Source organism: Homo sapiens, chromosome 8 (assembly GCF_000001405.40).
Source record: "Homo sapiens chromosome 8, GRCh38.p14 Primary Assembly".
Classification (NCBI taxonomy): Eukaryota; Metazoa; Chordata; class Mammalia; order Primates; family Hominidae; genus Homo; species Homo sapiens.
In genome coordinates this window covers 112956020-112981812 of record NC_000008.11, presented here as the reverse complement: position 1 = coordinate 112981812, position 25793 = coordinate 112956020, and the positions used below count along the sequence as shown (strand labels likewise).

The 25793-nt window shown below is 30.2% G+C and overlaps 1 protein-coding gene across 9 annotated transcripts in view; it reads left to right on the top strand.

The window, feature by feature from the left end:
* CSMD3 (CUB and Sushi multiple domains 3) overlaps positions 1 to 25793 on the top strand; it is a 1214012-nt gene that overhangs the window by 455127 nt on the left and 733092 nt on the right. For 5 of the 9 annotated variants that reach the window (XM_047421314.1, XM_017013008.2, XM_017013009.3 and 2 more), the window contains one exon: positions 5665 to 5976. The exons of the other annotated variants lie outside the window; for them this stretch is intronic. In XM_047421314.1, coding sequence (XP_047277270.1) covers positions 5665 to 5976 — 312 coding nt within the window. The remainder of the gene's footprint in view (positions 1 to 5664; positions 5977 to 25793) is intronic. 9 annotated transcript variants of the gene reach the window in all.

Sequence of the window (25793 nt, the reverse complement as noted above, 5' to 3'; positions counted from 1 at the left end):
ATAAAAAGGTATTTATGGTTGCTTGGCATGTGTGTTTATTAAAATTTCTAGCAATTCATAATTTGAGATCCTTATCTTGCATATAAACATTGTGTAATAGTGTATAATTTGTTAATATTTGTTTTACAATTATTAATTTAGTCACAAAGTGATTTTAGTAGATGTACCACTACATTTACTGACAAATCTTACTATCATCAGTTTCAGATTGAATTGCAAATATATTATTTATTTATTCATTCATTTTGCATATTATTTCATCAAGGCCACTTGTACATGATAAATGACAGCAAATCCAAATGCAAAATTTAATACTGGTTTCCTATTTAACGCTTATAAACTTTAACAAAATATATAACATAAAAATAAACATATCAATATGTCAGTAAATTCAGAAAGGTGATATGTATTTAAACTCAATTATATTTTTAAATTAGTATTTACCTATTTATTTATTCTTAATCTTAGAAAATCTGTTACATGAATTACTGAATTTTTTCTTACATCACTAAGATGAACTTCTTTTTACTTTAACCTCTCAGAAATCTGGGCACAAGTGATAGCCAATTTTGCATTGTCATTTCATAATTTAATTGCTGCAGTTTTTTTCTTAGATATGCCTCTTATAATCAAGGCTATATTGTATTATTGAGTAATATATTTTAAGATTTTAATCTTATGAAGTTTCAACATAAATACAGCATTTTAATTTGAAATCAAATTTTATAAGATCAATGTAGATATACATTTTTTGAAAATTATAAACTAGTTCTTTTCCAGGATTTACTTAAAATTCTCCTAGTCAGAAAGATATTTTTATACTTAATAACAGTTAATCAAAGGTAAAACATTTCTATTTCCCCTACAGTTTTAAGGGCTACTTTCAGTTAATCCATCTCTTTTCTAAATTGCATATTCATAGTTTGCACCCATCTACCAGTTTGAACTGTTGAATACTATGGTAGCCAGATTTTAAAATACTGAAATTAATACCTTTTATAATGCAAAATATTTCAATTATTTTCGCAACTAGCATACGCTTAATGAAAACGAAATTTTTAAAAATGTAACAAATCAGAGCTTTGTTTCACTTCATACCCTCGTATTCAATTAGTTCGCAAGTGTCCTCATTTATTGGTGTGTTTTCCTATAAGTTTCACAGAAGTCATATTAAAGAAAAGAAGAAAAAAATAACAAACATTAAATTACATATGCTAATGACTCTCCAAATGATGGCTTGAATAGAATTAGTCGTAGTATTTAGACTTTATGTTGGTGTTATTTGTGTATATATAATTTTTATTTTAGATGTTTTAATGTTAAACATTTATGGCATTTTACTTTATTACATATCACAATGTCACAAAATTATTATTATTTTGTTAAATTTCCATTCAAATGTTTCATATGAAACACTAAAATTAAAGGAAGGAACAGAATATATTAAACTAATTTATGTAACATAATGTGCTAAACATAAGTACCTAAAAACTTCTTTGAATATGTAGTTATTTTTACATGTTCTTATATATTTTGGGTCATCCATGCATATCTCTAGCAATATATTCTGTTTTTTATTTTGGTAATGAGTTAGAGAATAATTACAAAGAAACAACATAAAATTTTTAAACTATAGGACAAAAAATTTAATCAAAATGAAGTTCAAATTCTATCATGAGGTATTATTTGGTACATATTTTGTTAAAATTAATAACTTTCAAAAAATTTTTGAAAACACATAATAAAATTTCAAATTTAACATTGTACTATTACTATTAAATAAAATTTCAAACTTATATGTGTAACAAGTGATTTTCCATTATCATAATTTCATAGATGACATATAGTTATGACTTAGTGAAGCATGTTTATATATGTAAATCATTTTTATTTCATTTTTGTTAGTTTAGGAATATTTTGTTAAATAGCATTATTAAAATTATATTTCAGATAAGTTCATATTGTGAACGTCTTATTTTTAGATTTTTCTCAAGTAACTTAATGACAGGATAATCTAATTGTGATAAGCTACACCTTGTATATATCATTTGATATCAAATGAAGAAAGTTTTCTGAATGTACGTTTTCTTCCTTTGAGTTTTATGTCTTGTAATATATACATTTAACTGTGCTGTCAGACAATGCTTACCTAATTGTGTAGCATACTTAATTTTTTTCAAAAATGAAAGTAAAGTATCCTTTTAACATTGGATAGCTATGTGTATATTTAATATTGAATTATTGCTATACATAATTCTAAGACTTTTTCCAGCATTGGCAATTACTTAATAAAATAGTTGTGTATTCAAAAATTTTGAGTATTTTTAAACTGTTAAGTGGTGAATCTTGACAATTTAAAAATCTGTGTTTCATACACTGCCAATTTAAAATATTACCAATATCAGTATTTCAAACCATTAATATTAAAATAAAATGGTAAATGCAATATATGACATAACTGTATGGTAATGGATGACTTTATTACCTTAAAAAGGAAATCAGTGTTATTTCTTTATAGTTCCACTATATGTATCAAACATATCTAAGTTTAGATGCATTTATACTTTCTGTAAGCATGACATATATCCCCTTTTAATTCTACACAACGTTGAATATTCTAAGTAAATCTATTTTATACTAACAGATTAAACTTTTGTTTTGGAAATAACAACAAAAATTTTGAAGTAATTATTACTTATGCAACTTAATCTTCAGATTCCACACTTTTTCAAAGTGATGTTTTTGAAAGTTAAAACCAAAATTTTATGTTCCCCCTGCTTTGAAATTGCTCTTCATTCATGTCACTGTTTGAAATGCGACTTTTGCATGGTAACAATTATAATCATATTCCATTTGTGAAATGTGTCTTTTTATTATTGCTAATATTATTTTAGTCCTATTGAATTCATTCTTTATTTATTATTTCTTCTGATGAATGTTCCTGGAGCATCTACTATGTGCTAGGCAATGTTCTAGGAGCTAGGGATTCAGCAGTGAAATCAATATACAAAAATTTTAGCCTTCAGGGAGCTTGCTTCCCAGTATGGTGTGGAAAGAATATGAACACAATATATAAGTAAAACATAAGAACTGGTTAGTAAAATACCTGGTTGGAATACATATCTGGTTAGATTATGATTATTAAATAAATTCTGGGGTTTAATGCTTTATTTCAACCTTAAACACTGTCCCAAATTTAGGTTAAGGGAATAGTACTGAATCTTCATCACCGTTGGTGGGAAGTATAGCTCTTATGCTAAATATTTTAAGATTGGGACTGCTAGAAAGTCCTGGGTCTAGACATTACCAAAGATCAGTTCTAACTCCAAAATTTGGTCTGGAACTGTGTTTCTCCCCTGAGGTCTTCAAGAAAGTGAGTGTTTGGATTGGGTCTGCAGGTCTTGAGTGATTAGAGAAGCAGCCTAAGCCCCCTAAGCCTGTTCATAAGGATTATCTCAGATTTATTGACTCAAATTCGAGGGATTATTTGAGATTGATCATAATGACTCTGATGGAATATGATAATTTAATCCATCCCTTTGGTAAAGGTAGGCGTGCTCAGACATGTGACATAGTATAAATTCCATTATTTCTCATAAATTTAGCTTATAATTACCAACATATGTTTATAGTTAATAGTTTCTTTTATTAAAATTAAACCTGAAAGTCTGAAAATTATGATGAGGTTATAAAAATATTAAAGCATTAGTTTTTACTCTGATTTCATATTCCTGTCAAAAATAAAAAGGCTCAATTAAACTCTAGGAGGACAATATGGATCAGGTTTCATAGTAATGAGCACATGAGCTCATCATGATGTATGTATGAAACTGCACATCACAAATGTACAGTTTACCATGAGTTCAATTACTGTATTTTAGTAGTGCAAGCATAGCTATTGCTTAACCATGTGGTTAAAAAATTATTATCAAATATTAGCTGACTAAATATTGCAACCTGATTTATATAACCAATGTGAACTTAGTAGATTCTGATCTATGAAATAGGTTATTCACAAAACAACTTGGATAAATATTCAATAGAAGCTATCTGATTCATGCTTAAAAACATTAAAATATTTAAAATAATTTGATAATCGTCATACCTCATTTACTTTTGGCTCTTTCAAAATACAAAAATCATTTAATACTTCTGAATTTCTAGAATCAAATTCAGATATGACGACTCAACCTGGAAGAATCAGGGGCAGAAATGGGCTTTTCTGTTTGCCTGTGAGTGAGGGGCTCCAGGTTTGACTTCCTTTCTTCCTTTTTGAATTTAAGGCAGAAAGCAGAATTATTAGTCCTACTAATCACCTGTCTACAGCACAAGAGGAAAATAAAAAAGGCAGAGTATTCTCAAACCATATTGACATTGCTTTTTTTTCTCTTTCAGAATGGTTAAAATATCCCTAGCATTGTTATCTAAAATATCTAAGTAAACATTGCTAACAGAATTTTGAAATGTTGCGAAGAAAAGTGTATAAAAACATATACCACTCAGGGGCTTTAGAAAATATTCAGAAGTTTTCCAACCGGGATCTGACTATGATTCCTAATGAGTAGCTGCAGCTCCAAATTTCAATATTTTTTTTGGTTGTTGCTGTTAAGGATTTTAGCTGTCAAGATCCTTTTAAATATACCCCCATTCAATTTCATGCTTCTATTATAAAGTTACTTTTTTCATTATATAAGTATTATGAACTACCATGAACAACCTCCTTTAAAAAACATTAAATAAAATGAAAAAGCAAACTCTAATTTGACACTTTGAATACATACTTCTAAATTATTAAAAAATATTTAATTAGAATAAAAATGTGGTAATATTATACACACACACATGCGCACATATACACACTCTGAAATGCTTATGAGATATTTAGAAATTCCCAACCAATTGTTAAAACTAGCGTTGTGTGAATTAAAGTTACGTGCTGTATAATAATAGTTAAGTTTCAACCACTTCCAAATTTCATAATTTGCTTAATTTTAATTAGTTCAGAATTGGTTAAACTAAAATATTACTTAAAAATAGTAGAAAGTATTAACTAATTTTTAAAAACTTGATAAATTCTAAGGTACTTAGCTCATCACAAATGAGGTTAAGAAACACATTTTCATATAGTGGTTATTTTAGTGCCCCTTTTTTTTCATCATTTGTTTTCATTTTGGCTTTGATTTTAAATTCTCTTTTCTTCACTTGCTTGTCTTAAAATAGAAAATTTTGATATTTTTCCCAGAAACTGTGAAGAGATATGGCAGACTATTCAAAGCATACTTTTGAGAAAAGTGTGGTTACATAGTTACCCATTCCATCAAAACCTGACACTTGCCAGGCATTCGTTGCTAAAATTCATCTGTAGATTTTTTTAAAAGATTGATTCAGGGCCACATAAAGGGTTTACCCTTTTACCTGCTCTCTTCAATGTATTACAGTTAAAATGTGGTATATTTTGTGTGTATATCTATCCATAGGATGGTTGATAGAAACAAACCGACAGATCTAGTGCGCTTCACAATTTACTCGCGTGTTTGTGTTTTGCCTCTTCATGTTGATTATCCTTAAGGTAATAGAAGAGAATATGATTGATTAAATTTATCAGAAAAAATAAACAAAATTTAAAAAGAAAAAGTTAGCATCTAGTGCTACTGTGTCCCACAGGTTCTTCTACATTGACCCACACTACCTCCACTGGTGAGTTAGAGGAGCATAACAGGACTACCACTGGTGCTATTGCTGTTGCTAGCACACCTGCAGATGTTACTGTATCCAGTGTTACAGCTGTCACCATCCATAGACTTTCCGAGGAACAGCGAGTGCAAGTTACGAGTCTCAGAAATTCAGGTCTGGACCCCAACACGTCCAAGGACGGGCTCTCTCCTCATCCAGCAGATACACAAAGTACCAGGAGAAGACCAAGACATGCTGAACAGATAGAAAGAACTAAAGAGCTTGCAGTTGTTACTCATAGAGGTATTGGATGTTATTTTACTTGTGCCCATTTAGTTACAGCCAAAGCTATATTTTGGTAATGATTCTAATTAGAGAATGAGCTGAAAGAGAGCCAAGATATAGAAAGCAAAAGAAAAAGTTCAAAGTAGCTGAAAAATATGGATAGTAACAACCAAAACTGGAATAATTTGAAAGCATAGAAATTGAAATTTAAAAATAAGTCAAAGTGCAATGCAAATGTTGGAGGGGGAGGGGGTAAAAGTAGAACAGAAATCATTTTTAAACAGGACAGTAAAAACAAGTACCAAATACTTATTATTTATTCCATACCAGTTATGATGATGTTCACAAAACAGGAAAATAAAGTAGCCAGTTTTGATTAATAAGTGCATATATTTACACATAGATGATTTATCCCATGTAGTAATTTTTAGCGTTTGCATGATATTTTTATGTTATGCAAATGTTAGTTAGTACTTGAGAATATGTACAGTTTGATTGGGAAACATAGAAACATTATATCTGGTGATCGTTTTACATAGCTTATTCTTTGCCTGACCCATATGATTGCATTGAAAGATTTCTCATTTTGAAAAGGTAACAGCTATTCATTGATAGTATGCCTCCAAAATTTAAGTATTCTTTAAATGTCTAATTTATTTTTAGAGAAAAATGACATAAAACCACATCTTACATTGGTAATTTTCTACTCAGTTAATATAAGCCTACCTTTTACAAAATAAGGAAGTCTAGAAAATACATTTTTCTGTTTCTTGGTGGCAAGTGTCATAGAGAAGTTTAGGAAAAAAATTCAATGTAGTATAAAATAATAAAAGGTCTTTATTTATATCGATATATGTATCTGTAAGAACATTAATTAATTGAACATATTTCAAGTATAAAATATCTACTACATTTCCAAGATATCAAAATATTTTCTCTAAACTGGCTATGGTTTTTGCAGTGTGATTAGGCATGGTTTATACAGACCATGATTTAAGTAATGGTCTGTATAAGTATTGTGCTCAATACTTAGAGCACAAGAAGGATAGAAATCAAGACATCTTTACATACATTAATTAAAAATAATACAAAAATATCTCAGAAGTTTGTTTCCATTCGAATTTGTACTGAAAATACTTACTTTGATTCTCTTTAATGAGGCACATTCTAAAATGAATTTTTAACCTATAATAGTCTTCTCAAAAAGATTAAATCAATATCACCTTGATTCTATATTCACTTTCCTATTATAAATATTACCATTTATAAGAATATAGGGACCGTGTTAAAATTTGTGATTTACTCAATAAAGTAAACAGTTTTTGTCTTATTACCAGAAAATTTAAATAGGTAAAATTATATTAAAATGTTAAAAACTATTTTTTCATTCTCTTTGGAAAATTGCATGAGCTAATATTGGTAGGCTATCTGGAAATTATTTTATTACCCATCATATAGAAGGAGGATAATTTCTGACATAAGTTTATTGTAAAACCAACTAATAATACAATTTCTACTTTAGCCAAAGTTTGCCGTCAAGTGGTGTGATAAACTTTGTGGTTATAAATTAAAATTTTATGTAACTTGGAACAATAATGCAGACTGAAAATAGAAAAGTTTAATAGTCAACCATTAAATTAAATTAAATACTTTTAAGGTGGTTCCATATAAAATGTTTAAGTTTCTTCAAGTAAATTTTAATTAAGCTTCAAGAGTACTTCCCGGGTAGATTCCCAATCAGTGCTCAAACTTTCTCCATTATTATCATAAGCTCCCAGTGCTGTTTGAGAGATTGATACCTGTTTTACCTTTCCCCATATTCTTTACAAAATGGTGATTTTGAATTTAATATGCATTCAGTGGTGCCATGTACCTTGGAAATGTATTCCTCATTTATTTTTCAAAGTAGATGTAAAACATTATATGGAAAACATTTTTAATGTATTCATCATTATTGACAGTGACTTAAATTGTTATACTTTTATCAACTTTCTACTTTAATTCAAATTGGTTCTTCTGTTTCTTCTTCAATAACTTACTACTAGTTCAGTGATTTTGGTTTGCTACTTATCTATTACACTCTAGACACAATCTCTTAATATTATGGGCAAAAATATTCATCAATGTTAAGAGTAGGGGAAACCTACTATTCTATTGCTTAGTGTTTTCTGAAGTTCTCAAAATATAGCTATGCTCTTAGTTATGAAACTATCTTCTAAGACTTGATTACCAGCAGGTCCAAATTTCTAAACTGGAAATGGCTGACATCTAACTAGTATTATTTTTAAAATAATAATTTTGGCTCAGACACATGCCTAAAATGCTTACTCAGTACCAGATTCTGTTCTAGAGGAAATAAAGATAAATAATGCATGTCCCCTTCCTGCAGGACATTGCAATAGAGTCGAGGACATAGAAAAACCCATTCTAGTGGTACAAGATAGATTTTGTAAAATGAATTCTGATCAAAGTACTAAAGAAGTTACAGTGTGTATGCAGAGAGTGAGTCTTTTAAGTTACTTTTTCAATGAGTTGGTAAACAACCGAAAACCAATTGCTTAATTTTTTTAGATATTTCAGAAAAAAACTTATTCCTCTGATCTATTATCCACAATATAGTTAAAATGAACTTTTACAAATAAAAATCCAGTCGTATAACACTACTCTTTTAAAGCTTTCAGTGATTAATCAATGCTCTTAAGAATAAAGCAGAGACTTGGTGATGACCCACGGGAAACTGCATGATCTGACTTTTTTCCATATTTCCAAATTCATCGCATGTAACTCTCACAATCACTCTATTATTTTGCAAAACACAATTTATTTTAATTAGCCAAACACTGTATTCTTTTCTCCCTAAGGATACTCTGAGAAGCTAATCCTTGTTCCTTTTAACCACATAATTCTAATTTCCAAGATTTAGCTTAAATTGTTACCTCTAGGAAGGTTAGATATTCCTCTTATAACTTGCCATTGCAGCTTGCATTTGTAATCATCAGCCCTATAAATTTTCCTGTAAAATTTAAGCTCTCTGAGGATAAGGAGTGGGTGGGTTTTATTCATGCTGCATTTTCAGTACTTAGTACAGTTTCTGACCAATAGATATTTTTTAAAAAATAGTTGTCAAACTAATGAATAAGTGTTTATAATTTCACTTGCTAGAAAATTTACTTAAATTATTTAAAGGCTTGAAATTACCTTCTTCAAGATAATGAAATCTCTACATATTTCAGTATTAAAGATAACTACATTTTGTCACAGTTATAATACCAGTTTTTTTTAAATAAAGGCAACAATATTTTCATTAATCCATAATAATATATTGCTTTTATTGTATTACTGGTTCAAAATTCACAAAATGGAACTGGATATAAAGGCCTTGCTTTTAGCCCTTGAATGATTATAAAATCAAAATAATTTTATAATTAACCATTAGCAAACTATAAAGTCAAAAATATCCTATGAAAAAATATTCTACTGAATATTATTTTGTTGAAGTTAATTACAGTGTAAAACATAAATATAAGAGATTACTATAGCATAGGTCCGTTCGATGTCTGCAAGTTCATGCTATTTTGCAGTATGTAATAATTTAATATTTTTAATTTTTTTATTCACATTCCAGTTAAACTTTCAGTTTTATGTCTTTTGATCATTAATGGTTCCCAGTTTATCTGTTTTCATAAACTGGGGCATGTATTAATAATTGACATCAATATTATTATGAACACATAGAAACATGGATTACACACAGTATTTTGTACTTAATGTGTACAGACTAATCTATGTGTTAATTAAGTGAATTAACACATAGATAAATTAAATAAACTCACTATAACTTTTATTTAAATAACAACTGTAAAATTAATGAATAATCTGGAAAAACTTAAAATATTTCTCAAAGATATTTTCAATTCTTTATAGGGTACCATTCCAATTAATTTTCCTATTGTACTATAGTTAAAACATCAACAATTTAAATTATCTTAAAATTTTTATTTTCTACTTTTTCTCAGTAGCAGAAAATTATTTGCAGTCTCCTCCATTTGAAGATTCTTTGCACGTTGAGATAAAAAGAAGCAAAAGAGGAAGAAAATAAACAATGTTGGTTTAGATCTATTAAAAATGCATATTAACACCACACCTCACTTTGCTGTATTAGTGTACAATAGTCCTCAAAATGAGAACTTAATATTTTTGACTGCATTTTAGTCCACCTTTGCAAACTACTATGTGTGAGAGTTTGTTCAGGTCAAATGAACAATTATAGCTAAAATTTTATATTTGCAAAGTAGTTTTTGTAGTATCAAAATATTACATCAGGGTTGTTATAAGCATTAAACATAGTAATGATTGGAAGTGCCATAAACTCTTAGGTATTTTCTCCCAATGGAAAGATAAAAAAGAATTGCTTACTATCAACTTTGAGTTTTGGTCAAAGAACTAGGCTGAGACTATACTCTGCCCCTTGTTAGCTTTATGATCTTGAGCAATAAGTTCAATTCCCAAAGTCACAACTTCTCAGTAGCTGAGAACACCTGTGTCATAGGATGGTTGTTATTTTCATTTTATTCACAAAATATGTTTTAGCTCTTGTGATGTGCATGACATTGTACTGGATAGCAGGTACATGAGAATGAACAATACAATCAATGCCATAGAGCGGTCTACATAACTTTAAATAAAAAAGAAGAATCACAAATTTATTATGAGAAACACTTACATAGCAGTATTTTTGAAATGTTATTGAATTACAGTAGAGGGACTGACAACCTCTAAATATGAGTCAAAGAGGGCTGCTCAGAGAATATTTGAACTAATTATTGAAAGATGAGGCCAGGCGTGGTGGCCCACGCCTGTCATCCCAGCACTTTGGGAGGCCGAGACGGGTGAATAACGAGGTCAGTAGATTGAGACCATCCTGGCTTACACGGTGAAACCCCATCTCTAATAAAAATACAAAAAATTAGCTGGGCGTGGTGGCGGGCGCCTGTAGTCCCAGCTACTCGGGAGGCCGAGGCAGGAGAATAGCGTGAACCCAGGAGGCAGAGCTTGCAGTGAGCCGAGATCGCACCACTGCACTCCAGCCTGAGCAACAGAGAGAGGCTCCATATAAAAAAAAAAAAAAAGAAAAGAAAGCAAGCTGAATTAATGTTTGAAACTAGTAAATTATATTTATGTCACTAAGACCCATTCAAAATGGTTTGAGTGGGTATTTAGGCTGAATAGAAATATTAGTCTGCAACAAAAATAAATAAGTTGTTTTATGTTTGAAGGAAGACATACATTAATGTAAGTAAGCTTAAAAATAATTGACTTTTTATTTACAAAATATCCAGATGTTTAAAATTAGATAACGGATATATATCTAGTGACATTTGTAAATTCATCAGAATAATTTACTGCCTTAGCTATAAGATCTCTTTTGATATCTTTTCTTTTTTTTTTTTTTTTTTTTTGAGAGGGAGTCTAGCTCTGTCACCCAAGCTGGAGTGCAGTGGCATGATCTCGGCTCACTGCAAGCTCCGCCTCCTGGGTTCATGCCATATTTAAGTTAATATTTAACTTAAAATATCTTTTTCAATAATCCCTAAACCCTAAAGCTCAATATTACAGCCTTAGGAATTTACCTAACATTGACTTGAAAATAGAAGAACCTATGTAATGACATGATTTTAGAAATAATAAGTAAATTTTCCTGGATTTCTAGAATTATCTATTTTAGAATTAGGTGGGAACTTACAAATTATCTAGTAAATATCATTATTTTGTGGAGAAAATTATGGACTGGCAGAAACTGTATAAAAACCCAGTCTTAGACTAGTATTGATAGTCCTAGACTAGTATTGATTCATTCAAGATTCATTTAGTGTCTGATATGTGGTCTTTCATTAAGTGATGTTAAACTTGAAATAACAGATTATAAGCACAATTGGGTATCCTTTCTCAAGGAGTTATTTGTCATATTTTATTATGTTAAATAATAATTAAGATGTGTTTTACTCCACTGTATTTTGCTTTAGCATTACTTTTCTTGGAGACTTTAGTAGAATAATAGAAATTTTTTCAATATGTGGACAAGTCCTATCAGCTGTTAAAGAGCAGTTTTGATAGTTGCTGTTTTTAAGTACAAAATTTGGGTATATTCTTCTGGGAACGTTTTCATATACACATATAATAATTATTATTTTTTATTGGACTTCCCGATGGGAATTTAACTTAGATAACTACAACATCTTATGGAATTAAATAAATATATGTTATGAGGTTTTTATAGACATTACTACTGTTTATTTTGACCTAGTATAGTCAATTATGCCACAGTACATTTAATGGTAATGATCATATCAGTAGGATATTACTTTGGTTAATAAAGTTACATGAAATTATGCTGAATTGAGATTGAATATGATGTAGACTTTTCTCCTCCAACACTAGAGCTTAAAAGAAACTCTAGTTTAACAGTTTTTAAATAAGTACATTATTTATTATTCTTAGGTTTAAGGTAAGAATGGTTAATTCAGCATAAAACGTTTATTTTAGGTGAGCAATTTTAATCCAAAGAAGCAGGAATTTTTTATTGTTACCATAATTTATATTGTTTTCAAGTAAGCTCATCTGAATATTTATAAGGCTCAACAAAAATAAGAAAACAGCAAACAATCATACAGATTTAATATTCACATTAAATTGCCAGTTTATGTCAGAAGATTACTATGTCACAAATTTGATTCAAGAACTGGTGTAACACTCTTTTACATCAAAAACTGCATTGTGTGAAAGTAACAATTTTTAGGTGCTTATTATGTGCCCATCACTAATAGGCTATATTATTATGCATAAAATATATTTTAAATGTTTTCAAGTGTTTGCAAGCAACTAACACTGTTTTCAAATATTGTATTAAGACTTTTATAAAGTATGAATTTCTAAATCTAAAATATGTTGTTTTTAAAATCTTAATAAGCATCATCACAATGAGGGAGCTAGTTTATGAGTAGTCATGTAAATATATTTTTATGGATACTAATGTATGCCCAGCAAGTAATCAATTATCAGGGTTTTATTGTACATCTTATCTTTCACTGAGCAAGTGGTGAATTCAAAAGTATATTGCATAGTGTTTATTCCCAAAGAAAAAGTTGTAGAGATTAGATTACAGAGAAAAATTATAGGTCAATTATAAGAGAAAGAATTACCACAGAATGGGTATGGCATGTGAGGAAGGATGAGGTAAAACTGTCTTGAAATGCTTGATATGTTGTTCTGTGTAAGAGAGATTAAATCTGTCCTCTGGCATAGGTTGTAGAATTTAGTGTAGGGAACCATAAGACAGTGCAAAGCAGTTTATTATAAAGAAGACTGATTTAACATTCAGTTTTTTTTTTTCAAATATAGATTGTGTGCTACTAGAAGCAGTGAATTCTCAAAGACATTCAAGCATAGGTTGTAATGGACAATGTGGGTATTTAGAAATCACTAAAGCATCAAATAATATCTTAATAATATGATTGCCACTGTCCCTTTTAATCCCAAAAGTCTATGATTCTATAGAGAAATATTATATATTAATTAATGTATTTACCATCACTTTATATTCCCTACTGGTGTTGAGCTGACATGTACTTATTTTAATGATTATTTATAGCCAGTGTAAAAACAAACATAGAAGTGGCCAATGCTACCATCAAGGAATTTAGAGATTAACAATCTACTTATCTCATTAAATGTGAAATCAGCCATATTTACTTTTTTTTTTCTGGGCCCAATGCCCACATCTATGCCTTAAATTCGAAAACTTCTTTATTTGGAGGTCCAGTCCTAGCTGTTCTTTTAGGCAGTGTTATTTCTAACAACAGATGACAGTGCTATTCTTACTCTCTTCACTACCACATTCTACTATGTATTTATTCACTCATTTTTCTTTATTCTTTCTTTTCATTTTTTCTTTGTTTTTCTTTTTTCTCTTTACTTCTTTTCAGTTTTTTTCTGTTCCATCTTCTTTTCTTTTAATTTTTTTTTCTCTCTCACAAATATCCACTGAGTGCCAAGCTGTCTTCCAGTTGCTGGGTATACAGTATTGAACAAAACTTAGTAGACCCTGCTTTATTGAACTTATATTCAAGTGAGGAAGAAAAAGACAATAAACAAGTAAATAATTGTCTGATGGTAATAAGGGCTGTGCAGAAAATCAAAATAGGCTATATGATAGATGGATTGCTGCCTTAGTTTGGATGGTAAGGAAAGGACTCTGGGGAGTTAAAATTTAAACTGAGACCTAAACAACAGAAAGCAGACAGAGATGCTCTTGGAGCTATGCCTTGAAATTTCTCAGAGGAGAAAGCACACCAGGAAAAAAAACAGCTAGTTAAAAAAAGCTTCAGTTTAACTTGAGAAAAATAAAACCTACTAATTCTTGTACTCAGTGCACCAGGAGGAGAGTAAGGTAGATGAGGTGGGAAACATAGGTAGGAAAAACACCATTTGGCTTTTAGGCCTCAAAAATGAGCTTTATTTTTATCTAAACCATTGGTGGACATTAGCAGGGAACATATATTATCAAATGTAATTTTTAAAGGAGTCACTTTAGCATGAATTTGAAGAAGAAATTTCAAGTGAATAGGAGCAAGCAGACAAATAATAAGATACAGAAATGCAAGTAACAGTTGATAGTTTCTTGGAGTATAGGTCTTATAGTACGCTTTTCAAATTTCATTGTGGACATGAATCATCTAGTAGTCTTGTTCAAATGCAGATCATGACTTGATGGAATTGGAGTTGGATCTGAGATTTCGCATTTCTAACAGATCTCTAGGTTTGCTCATACACTGAGTAGCAAGAACTTAGATGAAGATGATCATCATGGAGAGAGAACAACATTTATCACACAGTCCCAACACTGTCTATTCCTCATAGGATTTTGTTCTCCACTAGGATAATCACAGTGTTGACAAGCTATCTTGGATAATATAGTAAAAACTAAACTTTATTCCATACGAGTGACTCAAATGGTGGGAAATTTATGAGTGCAAGGGATATTTTAAGGCAGATGGATTTTCTGAATCAATGTTAATGACACTAATTAGTTTTGGCAACCTTTAAGAATGGCTGAGCTATTGACATTCATTATGATTTTACTGGAAAGATCAATAAAGGAATAGATGAATAAGAAAATCAACACCAAGTCAAATTTTAGCTCTAAATTTTAAATTTTACTCAAAATTCTATACTTTAAAATGGTTGTTATTTTTCAATGTATCAAATAACAAAGAGAAAAATACATCAGGGTTTAGTTTCCCTTTACTTACCATGTTTCAAATCCCTGAAAGGTTGATAGATGGAGGTAAAACAGTAAAAAAAAAAATTTTTAAAAATGAAAAAAAGAAGAAGAAAAGAAAATAAAGAGAAAAAAGAAAAGTATACAAAAGTTGATGCCAAATCAAAAATTCTGAGGAGTTAATCTTTAAGCATTGTTTTCTTATTTTATATATATGGTGAAATTACCTTTGTCTGCTTGAATTCCCAGGTCTTTATTTATGAGACTAACTAATGTATTTATTTTAATAGCATCTTTAAAGCATAACTAATAATAGACTGCAGAATTTATAACTTTTAAAAAATTATCTGGTTATGTATAATTCTTATAGAATTACTTAATTTTATTCATTTTATTTATTTATTTTGGATGTCGGAACTTTGACATTGGTAAAGTGAATACAAAAAATAGGGGAATGTCAACATTTTGGGTGGAGAGTTACATACAAATATTGATCATTGTATGCTTTATCAATATCCTGCCATACTTTTTGTTTACTTTTTCCATTGTTCTCTTGACTTTCCCTAATTATGTTATTTAATGGAAAGTTGTGTTTAATGTTTATAGAGCTATTTAATAATTCATGTTCAGAAATGTACCAATTTATCATTTAAATACATATTTATTGAATAGCATCCTTATTTTCTATCCATTACCTTATTTCATCACATTTTTGAAATTGTCAAAGCAATGTCATTCATGACAGTAAATACATTTTTATATTTCTAATTCTTTTATGTTTTGTTAAATAAGTTGTTTTTAAGAAGAAAGAAGAGAAAAAATAAAATGTTAGAATTTACTTGTTAACGGGTTTATGCACATTTAAAATGTATTAGATAAAAGTACTCAGAATGCCTGAGGACTTGAATGACAATATTAAACAATGAAAATTTATTTTATTCACAAATGGCAAATCTGCAAGTAACCATTTTAACATTTTTATCCAATGCTACCCTTCAAGCCATGCTTTTGAGTTAGTCCTATGTAAAGATTTTAAGAATTTCTGATGTCAATGTTCTTATTTCCTTTGAGTAGGTCTTTAAGGAAACCTATATATTTTTTTCAGATTTTCAGCCACTTTGTTTTTTTCACCTGTAACCGTTAATCAGATATCTTGTTAGCTTATTTTTATATTAACACACTATATCTCATTTTTAATAGAATGAGTAAATAAGGAAAGATAATAATATGTACTGAATTGATCAAAAGAGAAAGCTTAACTTTAAAGATCAGAGATGAAACCATTATGTGTGTAGCTGATTTCCCCAAATGGTTACCAGAGCTTCTTTTACCTGTGAATGAGATCGTCACAGTGAATGTGGCGTATGTGACTTTTAAATCTTTTTCTTTGTTAAAATATTTTGATGGGGCTAGACTTTCTATTTGTGCTCAAAGCTGATGCCAAAGCAGACTCCTCTGCCTTTTGGAATATGAAGAAATGGTCCTATGTAGAGACATTTTTATCTTGTTCAGAATTATTTCAGGGCATTTTCACCCACTTTTGCAACAAGCTGCTTTCCTTGCATGTAGTTTTCTAGAGCATATGGCTACCCTGCTGTGCGCAGAGTGAAACCACACAACTAATCTTTACAATTTTAGGAAGAGCAGAACCTTCATATGTGGCAGAACAGCGTGGTGTTAGGTTTAGGGTGCATTGCGTAGGATATTTTTCTCTTCACAATTACATCATTTGTATTCTAAAGCATGGACTATTGCTTTTTACTGTTGATGCTTGATCTCTCTTTATTTAAATTATTCTTCCAATTGTATTTTCTCATAATAGCAAATGAAACTAAAGTGACAGAAATTTCTAGATTAATTTTATCCAGAGCCCAGAGATGTTAGAAATTTTTCATTGAGGAGGCTTATATTAAGGGGGAAAAAAAAGTCTCATCAACTCTTCTGAACTTTCCCTTTAGAAAGGAATGCAGCCAAAGATGATTTTACTAAAAGGACTAGATGATTATTTGAATTTCACATAGCAGTTGGTTTTGCTACACCTTTTAATTTCATCTGTTCACACCTTTAAAATAAAGTATTATGAGGCTTCAGGCCACGGGGTTATACTTGGCACTATCATCAGATAGTTGATGTCTTCATTCAATATTAAATCCAGTTAATAAAGCTTTTGTGCCTTATGAAGGTAAACATATTTAGGGTCAAATATTATTGATTACTTAAAATTTTATATCAAAATTAATAAATTAGGATAGGATACACTAATTGCATCTATTTATGGTTTTCTAAGATACGCACTTGAGAGAGTTCTGACTGAATATATGGAATTATGTTATCTATAGTCAGATGGTATAGATGATAGTATTGAAGTTTTAGAGTCAAATGAATGACCATATTTTATTAACATATAGATAACCTTGGGCAATTAATTTAGCTCTTCTCCATTTCTACATTTTTTGAAAGGGGCGATAATTTTGCATGGATATTTTGTGATTTCAATGAGATAGTACACATAGAGTACCTAATGCTTTAGATGCACAGCCAGTAAATGATACTGCCCCTTTCTGGATCATTTGCAAGAAGAAAATATACTCTGGTTATATAAAAATCCTGTAAGGTAAAGATAAATGTGAACAAATTTATTTAAAAAAATTAGCACAGTTTTAAATGTCTTAGGTAGCTTATTTCCTTAGGAAAAAATACATAGTTTAATGCAATATTGATATGGAATATTGGATACGAATATATACAGTTTGATTTAACACTATTCATATTGCTCTCATGTATAAGTTATACAAAAGTAAAGTGTAACATTCAACTCATCTCAGATTTCTATTAACTCCATATTTTTTCTTGCCAGTTTTACTTTTCATTGAATTACTTTTCAATTTCAATACAGCCAACGCATTTAAATTTTGTTTATCTACTCTATCTTTGTGAATCTCTGTGTTTCTTACAGACATAATTGCTAGAAAACAGCACAGTTGCGTTGTCTAGATTTTCAAAACATTTTCTAAGAAATGAGTGAACAACCAATGGTAGGATGATGAGCAACAGCCAACAATAATTCTACCTAGATATTATCCTTTGAAGTATAATGGTGGTCATAAAAAAATTAAGAGATGTTGAATACAGTATCTGAGATGTAGATTTCAATTAAATCTCTAATAATTTCCATGTACCAGAGGTATGTTCATCAGAGTACATTTCAAAACAATAGAATGTTGCCTAATTTGAGGAAGTTTTACTTACAAAGGATTATTTCCGAATGAGTGAATGTAAAGAAACCATAAGGAACCATGCTGTAACCTATGGTAGCAGCAGCTGGGCTGTTACGATTCCCACGTTGTTGGGATAAGGAAGAAAGTGAGATGTTGGACAAAGTCCTATTGTAGCCTTGCATTAAAAGACAAATGCCCTTTAATTAAGAGTCCAGCAAACTCCAATAATTGCAATGGTGAGGAATCCTGTGGAATAAAAATTCTGGTCTTACTTTCCTCCCTCCCTTCATCCGCCTGCTGGAATCCCCCAGAGGTTAAGGGAGTCTGTTGATAGAGTCTACTGCTTCAAAAGCTTAAATGTTAGGAAGAATCACCTGGGGATCTTGTTAAACTGCAGATTCTAATTCAATAGTTCTCAGTAGTGCTCTATATTCTGCTTTTCTAACAAGCTCCCAGGTGACGCCAGTGCTTCTAATGCAATGTCACAATTTGTGTAGCAAGGATGTAGCCATTCAGATCAAATTTCTGGGCAGAGAACAAGGAGGAGAATAGGGAGAATGGACCTGGAAAGGGAAATATAAAACATAGATGGGTATGATGAGTGTGTTGGCATTTTGAATAGCCATGAAATTAGCAGTAAAACACTGCATTAAATACAACCATCAGAACCCATCTATGTTTATTTTAAACAGAATCTAGGCACTGATATTAATATTTCTAGTGAATTTTAGTAAAATATAATGACCTGAAATCACAGGGATGATGGACTGTTGTTATTTATTAAAGCAATTAATTTTCTTCTGTTTCTTTCTGTATTTTTTTTTTGTAAATTTATAAAATTATTCAATGCACTAATGAAATTCATAGTGGAAGACTATATGCCACTGTCCACAGTCTGAAGAAAGTCATTAACTTTGGCTGCTGTTTTTCAAAAAGTTTCTTCTTTCCTAATTAATCTCATATTAGAAGGCCTTATAATATACATAAGTGATTTCTTATGTTGAGTGCGAAACAAATATTTAATGTAATAATATTTTATCATGAGTAAGAAAATATTAGTTATCATTTTTCATGTTACAATTTACAATCAAATTATCTATGATAAAATTAACTTTTGAAATGAAAATACCAATTAGAAACAAAACAAAAGAAAAGAAAATCACTTGTATTCTAGAGAACATAATATATCAGAAAAAAAAAGTCCCAAGAAAGTGCATAAATTGAGTGGATATTAATATTAACTGTACAACCGAAAACAATTTAAAAAGTTAATTTGAAGCTGTCAGAAAATAAAGATTAAAAACAATTAAATTAAGGGCAGACAGTTTTAAAGTGTTAAAAGTATCTGTGAACTATACCAATGGTAACCCTTCCCATATGGTGACTTTTATTATGCCAATTATAAGAATCCCTAAAGAGAATATAAAAATCCCACATTTTTCATATAATCCTGACATTTTACAGCATACCATAACTGTAAGACCTGTTACGCCAAGCATTGCAGGTGCATCTGCTGTTATCTGCGTAAGTGCTATGGTTTCCTGAATTTGCTCCATTTCTAGGAAGAAAGAAAGCCCATATACAAATTTTAGAGTCTTTATGCAATGATTAGTTACATGATTTTTTATATAGTTTTGCAGTCTGTTCACGGTCTCCTAAATAAAAATCAATAACTTTATCCAATCCTTAATGCCTATGAAAATTAACAAATTAGTTTTATTAAAACACAGTGTCTCCTCTCCATACTCACCACTCTGTTCAGTTTTCCAAGTGAAAAATTTACACTTATTTCTTAGCCTAAAATGATTGAAAAATAAGATTCCAAATATTTAGAAACTAGGTCAACCTCATTTCAACACTAAGACATTGTAGCTTCAGGATCTTCTTTTGTAAAATAGAAAATGGTCTTGTTAGTGGAGAATCTTGAAATACGTTAAATAATTATTCATATAATCAATATGATTGTATTTATATGGTTTTATACATTTCTACTAAATTTTCCATTTTGATCAAAGTTTTGGAGAGGTTTCTAACTTTAAATAGAAAAGTAAAATTTAAGTTAGAAATTCAGAGAACATAGATAATATATTTTGTGTATCATCCCTACATAGTGAAAAAGACATAACACAAAATAGTTAACAAATTTTTGGTATATTGCATCACAAATCAGAATGGCTTCTGAGACTAACTAGACCTTAATATTATAAATGGTAAATAATATTAGTACAAATAACTAACATTTAAAGATTCTTGCTACATGTTGATTTCTAAAATTTATTGTGTAATTTAAGCACAATAGTAAAATTGTGATTATATATTTTCTTTCACCTAAAAATTGAGCATCACATACATTTGATATTTACACATCAAACATGCAAGAGTAAGTGCTATGTACAAATGAGCATTGTGGCATAATTAGGAGTTTAAGATTTAAAAAAATGTATTGGCTGTTCTGAACCATATTACTTGTCTCTAATGATTTTTTAAATGGAGAGTACATTACGATTTTACATAATTATAAAAATGAATATATACTATTTCCTAATAAATTTAACTAGTTCAGTTCCATCATTTATGAATTCAAAAATATGTTAACTCTCGTGTATCCCTAGTATGTTTATCTCTACCAATGAATTTTTCTGTACTTTAAGAACTTTTTTTAATTTTTATTTTTTGTGTGCTTTTTAAAATACTTAGTTGTACTACTACATTTCTCATCAAATTATGGCCATTGCTTTTCTTTATACAAAGTTTATCTTCATTTATTTTAAACATATTTTGAAATGAAATATTTTTCACAAAGATTCATGAGCTACTTAACATTATGTCACTGAGTTTTCTATTATATCGTCTTCCTGTGTAACCCAGAAACATTATCTAATTGTTGCAGGATACCTCTAGTCACTTTTTTAAAAATTATGCTACAGAAACATTTATAAGATGTATTGTTTTCTCAGAAGATTGTATTATTAATACAGTAGTAAATCTTATATGAAAGATGTTAAAGGAGATACTGCAGAAATATTGTTTAGTTTTCAATCTAGCAGCAGTATAGTTTCTTGATTTTTCTTTGTCTAAGGATTACATCAAAGAAGTCATCATTAGCAGCCTCTGTGATAAGTATGTTCTGAAAAGTGTTTTGTTCAGCCAGTACAGGATGTAGAAAAAAAAAAAAGTTAAATTTTTGTACTTGCTGACTTCTAACATAGAGCCACTATTTACTTTTAAACAAACAAAAAAAAGTCATCTTTATACAGTTAAATAATTTTATAACTCCCCTACACATTTAAATCTCTGGAATAGAACTGATAATTCTGATGACATTAGTCTTTATTTCCTTTCACCCAAATTCTACTCCTAAATAGTTAAGAATTACATCTCTTAGAACTGAATAGAAAAGTTAATCGACATGTCCCATGTCTTATAGACTCAGAACATAGGTCTGCTAACTCCTAATCCACTAAGCAAAATGCCAAAAATAACACACTCTGTTTTAATATTACTTTAACCTCCTAGTCAGTGACTGATTAGTCTTAGTACTCATGTAAATAAATCTATTGTCAATAGTGATATGTGCCACTTTCTCAAAATCAAATACACGCCTAGAGACATGTTAGTTATTTTCAATATCCAAAACATTAAAAGGAAATTATTGTATTAGTAGTATAGTTTATTAGTTTACTATAAAGTAAAAGATAAGATTATAATTAATAAATTCAAAATAAAAAGTGGGAAACGCACATCCAGGTATCATATCAAACACAGCACAAAAGAAGACGAGAAAGGCATTATTGTACATTTGAAAAGAAAGGTTACAATGAAGCAGAAATAAACAAAAACATAAACAAGATACTAGTTACTTGTTCATAAGAACTTATTTTCCTTTTTAAAAGAATTATGATATGATTGAATTATAGGTTTATAATACAGCTACTGACACTTCCAAGATACTTTATTGTTAAAATAAATACCACAAACTTGGAAGAATAAAATAAATACAAAGTTAGAGTATACCATTCATTTTACCTTCATTATTGTCTTAGAATATAATCCAAGTGGAAAATGAGGAGCGCTTCAGACTGTTCTGAAAACATTTAATAAATGCCACTGTCTTCTAAGAGAGCCCCATGCAAACATGAAAGTTAATTATTTCTAATTAAAACAATGTTCTGCTAACTAATACTAAACATGTCTGTTTCTTCTTTTTCAAAGATAAATGTTCTGCATATTACATATTTTCACTATATATGCATAGCAATGAAATAGAATAATATATTTCAGATATGTAACTTTTGAGATTATGTAATGAAGGACTCAATTTTTAGAGGAACTTCAAGCCAGGAAATGTTTTATTACTTTAAGTTATAGAAGCTTAGTGATAAAAGGACCAATTGAAGGTCACCTTTTCCAAATCTCCAACTTGTACTTAAATTCCTTCTACTACACCTATTTAATATGATCGATTTCCTAACATTAAAGGCCAGTACCAACACTAAATATAGTACTTCCCAATCTATTTTATCCCACCAATACCAGATGTTCTCAAGTTACACTTACAAAGTTTTTGTAACATAAAACATAAAGACAAATGCCTGTTTCATCAAAAAAGTTGATATTGGAAACAAAATCAATCTATGATTTATATGCGTGAATATATGGTTAATTTTTATAGTAGGCATTTTAATTTAAATCATTTCAAATAATGACTTTAGCTGATTAACATGAAAATTAGATGAGGTTTAAGTAAGAGTCAATCAATATCTTTTTTTGTAAGTTTTTAAATGCAATTTTGAATTTATATTGATCTTGAAGACAACGGACAACCTGGAAGACGCCACAGTGATAATCCACTACGTGGCTTAAAACTACTCTAATACAAGTTACAAAACAAAGTGCTTTTGCTAGTGTCCAGGGCTTACAACTAAATAAAGAGGGATTTGATTGCTGGCCTGATATTCTTCCCTGCCAGGCCTTTCTTGTATTATAAAATATTTCTATTACACTAAACAAAAAAACAGTCAAACTGAACATGTAATGAAAAATTTTAAAAATGATTAAAAATTGTTTAGCATATGAAAGAAAAGAAAATGAATCTTTGTGCATATGCCTATCAATCTTGCATTTAATGCTTTCTAAAATTATTAGAGCATACATAGTTTTTCTGTATTTCATCTTGAGATTTACAAATGAAAGTGCTTCATCTTGGGTGTTCATTTTTTAAAATCACTTCCTCCCATCATAGTTCACGATCAATAAAGGGAATTCTCCCAACAAAATACCTTTAGTTAAAAGACTCAGAATTAACAATATTATATATATTCATTCATACACTCATACAAATACGACATGCACTTTTGGAGGCCGGGGCAGGTGGATCATTTGAGGTCAAGAGATCGAGACCAGCCTGGCCAACATGGTGAAACCCTGTCTCTACTAAAATACAAAAAATATCTGGGCGCGGTGGTGCGCGCTTGTAACCCCAGCTACTTGGGAGGCTGTAGCAGGAGAATCGCTTGATCCTGGGAGGCGGAGGTTGCAGTGAGCCGAGATCACGCCACTGCTCTCCAGCCTGGGCGACTGAGCGAGACTCCGTCTCAAAAAACACACAAACACGCCCGGGAGCTGTGGGTTTACACCGTTTCCCAGCACTTTGGAAGGACAAGGCAGGCAGTTCACCTGACAGGAGTTTGAGACCAGCCTGGCCAACACGGCTAAACTCCGTCTCTATTATAACTACGAAAATTAGCCGCGTGTGTCACACGCCTGTAATCCCAGCTACTCGAGGGGCTGAGGCAGGAGAACTGCTTGAATCCGGGGGACGGAGGTTCCAGTGAGCCGAGATCGCGCCACTGCACTCCAGCCTGGGCGACCGAGCGATACTCATTCTCAAAACAAACAAACAAACAAAAATATGACATGAACAAAATATTTTTTCTGCCTTTGAGGAGCTTACCATACAGTGGAGGGAATTGCCACACATGACACACTGTGTAAACATTTTCCTTAACCTGTATAAAATACCATAATTTATTTTAACATTAACTCTACAATAAATTTTACATGCTTATTACTGAAATGCATCAGGTTAAAAAATCAGGTTAATTTTCTAAGTTAAATATGGTCATTAGAAGCACTCATTACTTGATGACAAGTCAAGATTTATGCTCTGTATCTTTTATAAATCGTGAAATCTATATTTTATGGTATATATTGTAATATTAAATACCTGATACATGATTTAGAATAGTCTTGTAATTAATACTTGCAATATTTATTTTTTTAATTTATTTATTAGGAGATATACATTATTCTTTCCGTTAAAAATATAAACAGCTAAAATATTTGTCTTCTGTTTAACATATTTTAAATTTTTTGTGAATTTAAATTTTATGTTGTTAATTCACACTTTGTCATGTCCAAAAATGGATATTCTCCTGACCTTTCATCTTCTGCATCTGTATTACAATTATTATAGTTTTTATTTAAAAAGTATAGATGTATCATTATTAAAGATAAATTGACATATAGATGCTTATAAAAGAGAAAACTAAGGTGCTTTTAGAAGCAGGAAAACCTTACCCAACCAAATAATTAAATCAAGATACTTGTAAGTAGGCATGCTAATCTGTCCCCTTTTACACACACTGCCACTGCCCCCCAATATTAGTAACTTATTATTTACAACATTGAACTCTTTGATCCGTAGGATTTTATTCTTTTGCATTTTCTCCTTTGGTCTGATAATCTTTTCCTTTAGTTTTCTTTATTCTTTTTGAAATCCAGACGTGTTAAAATCACCATGAAATCTTCAGACCTATTTTTAATACTTATAAAGTCAAATCTTATAATGCAGAGAAAAGTAGAGGTAGATTCCTACTTATAATTCATGTTTCCAATGGAAAAATCTAGAATTATGCCAGAAAATACAAAATGCAGATTTTGTTAAAAAGTATTTTGAGACAGCAGAAAATTCACATGTGACAAAACTAAACTTAGAGCAGTTGAACACTTCAGAAGAATTAAACTTTAGGTTACCATCGGGGTGGGGATGAGGGTAGAAGAGAATCACAACAAAAAGCGTCACTTGGGAGGGATGTAGTCATTTTTTCACCATGAATAAGGATTCACAGTTAAAGAATCTTAAACTATAAAGAGAGAAGCCATCTAGTCTTAGCTGCTTATTTAAGAGAAAAAAGCAGGTAAAAAGGCAGATTCTTGTCCAAAATCCCACAACTAATAATAACTAAGAATCAGCCTTATAAATCCTGCTCCAACGATAATATTCCTCTTTTTTTAAAATATATGCTGTGTGTATAGATAGTTCATATCTTATATTCACA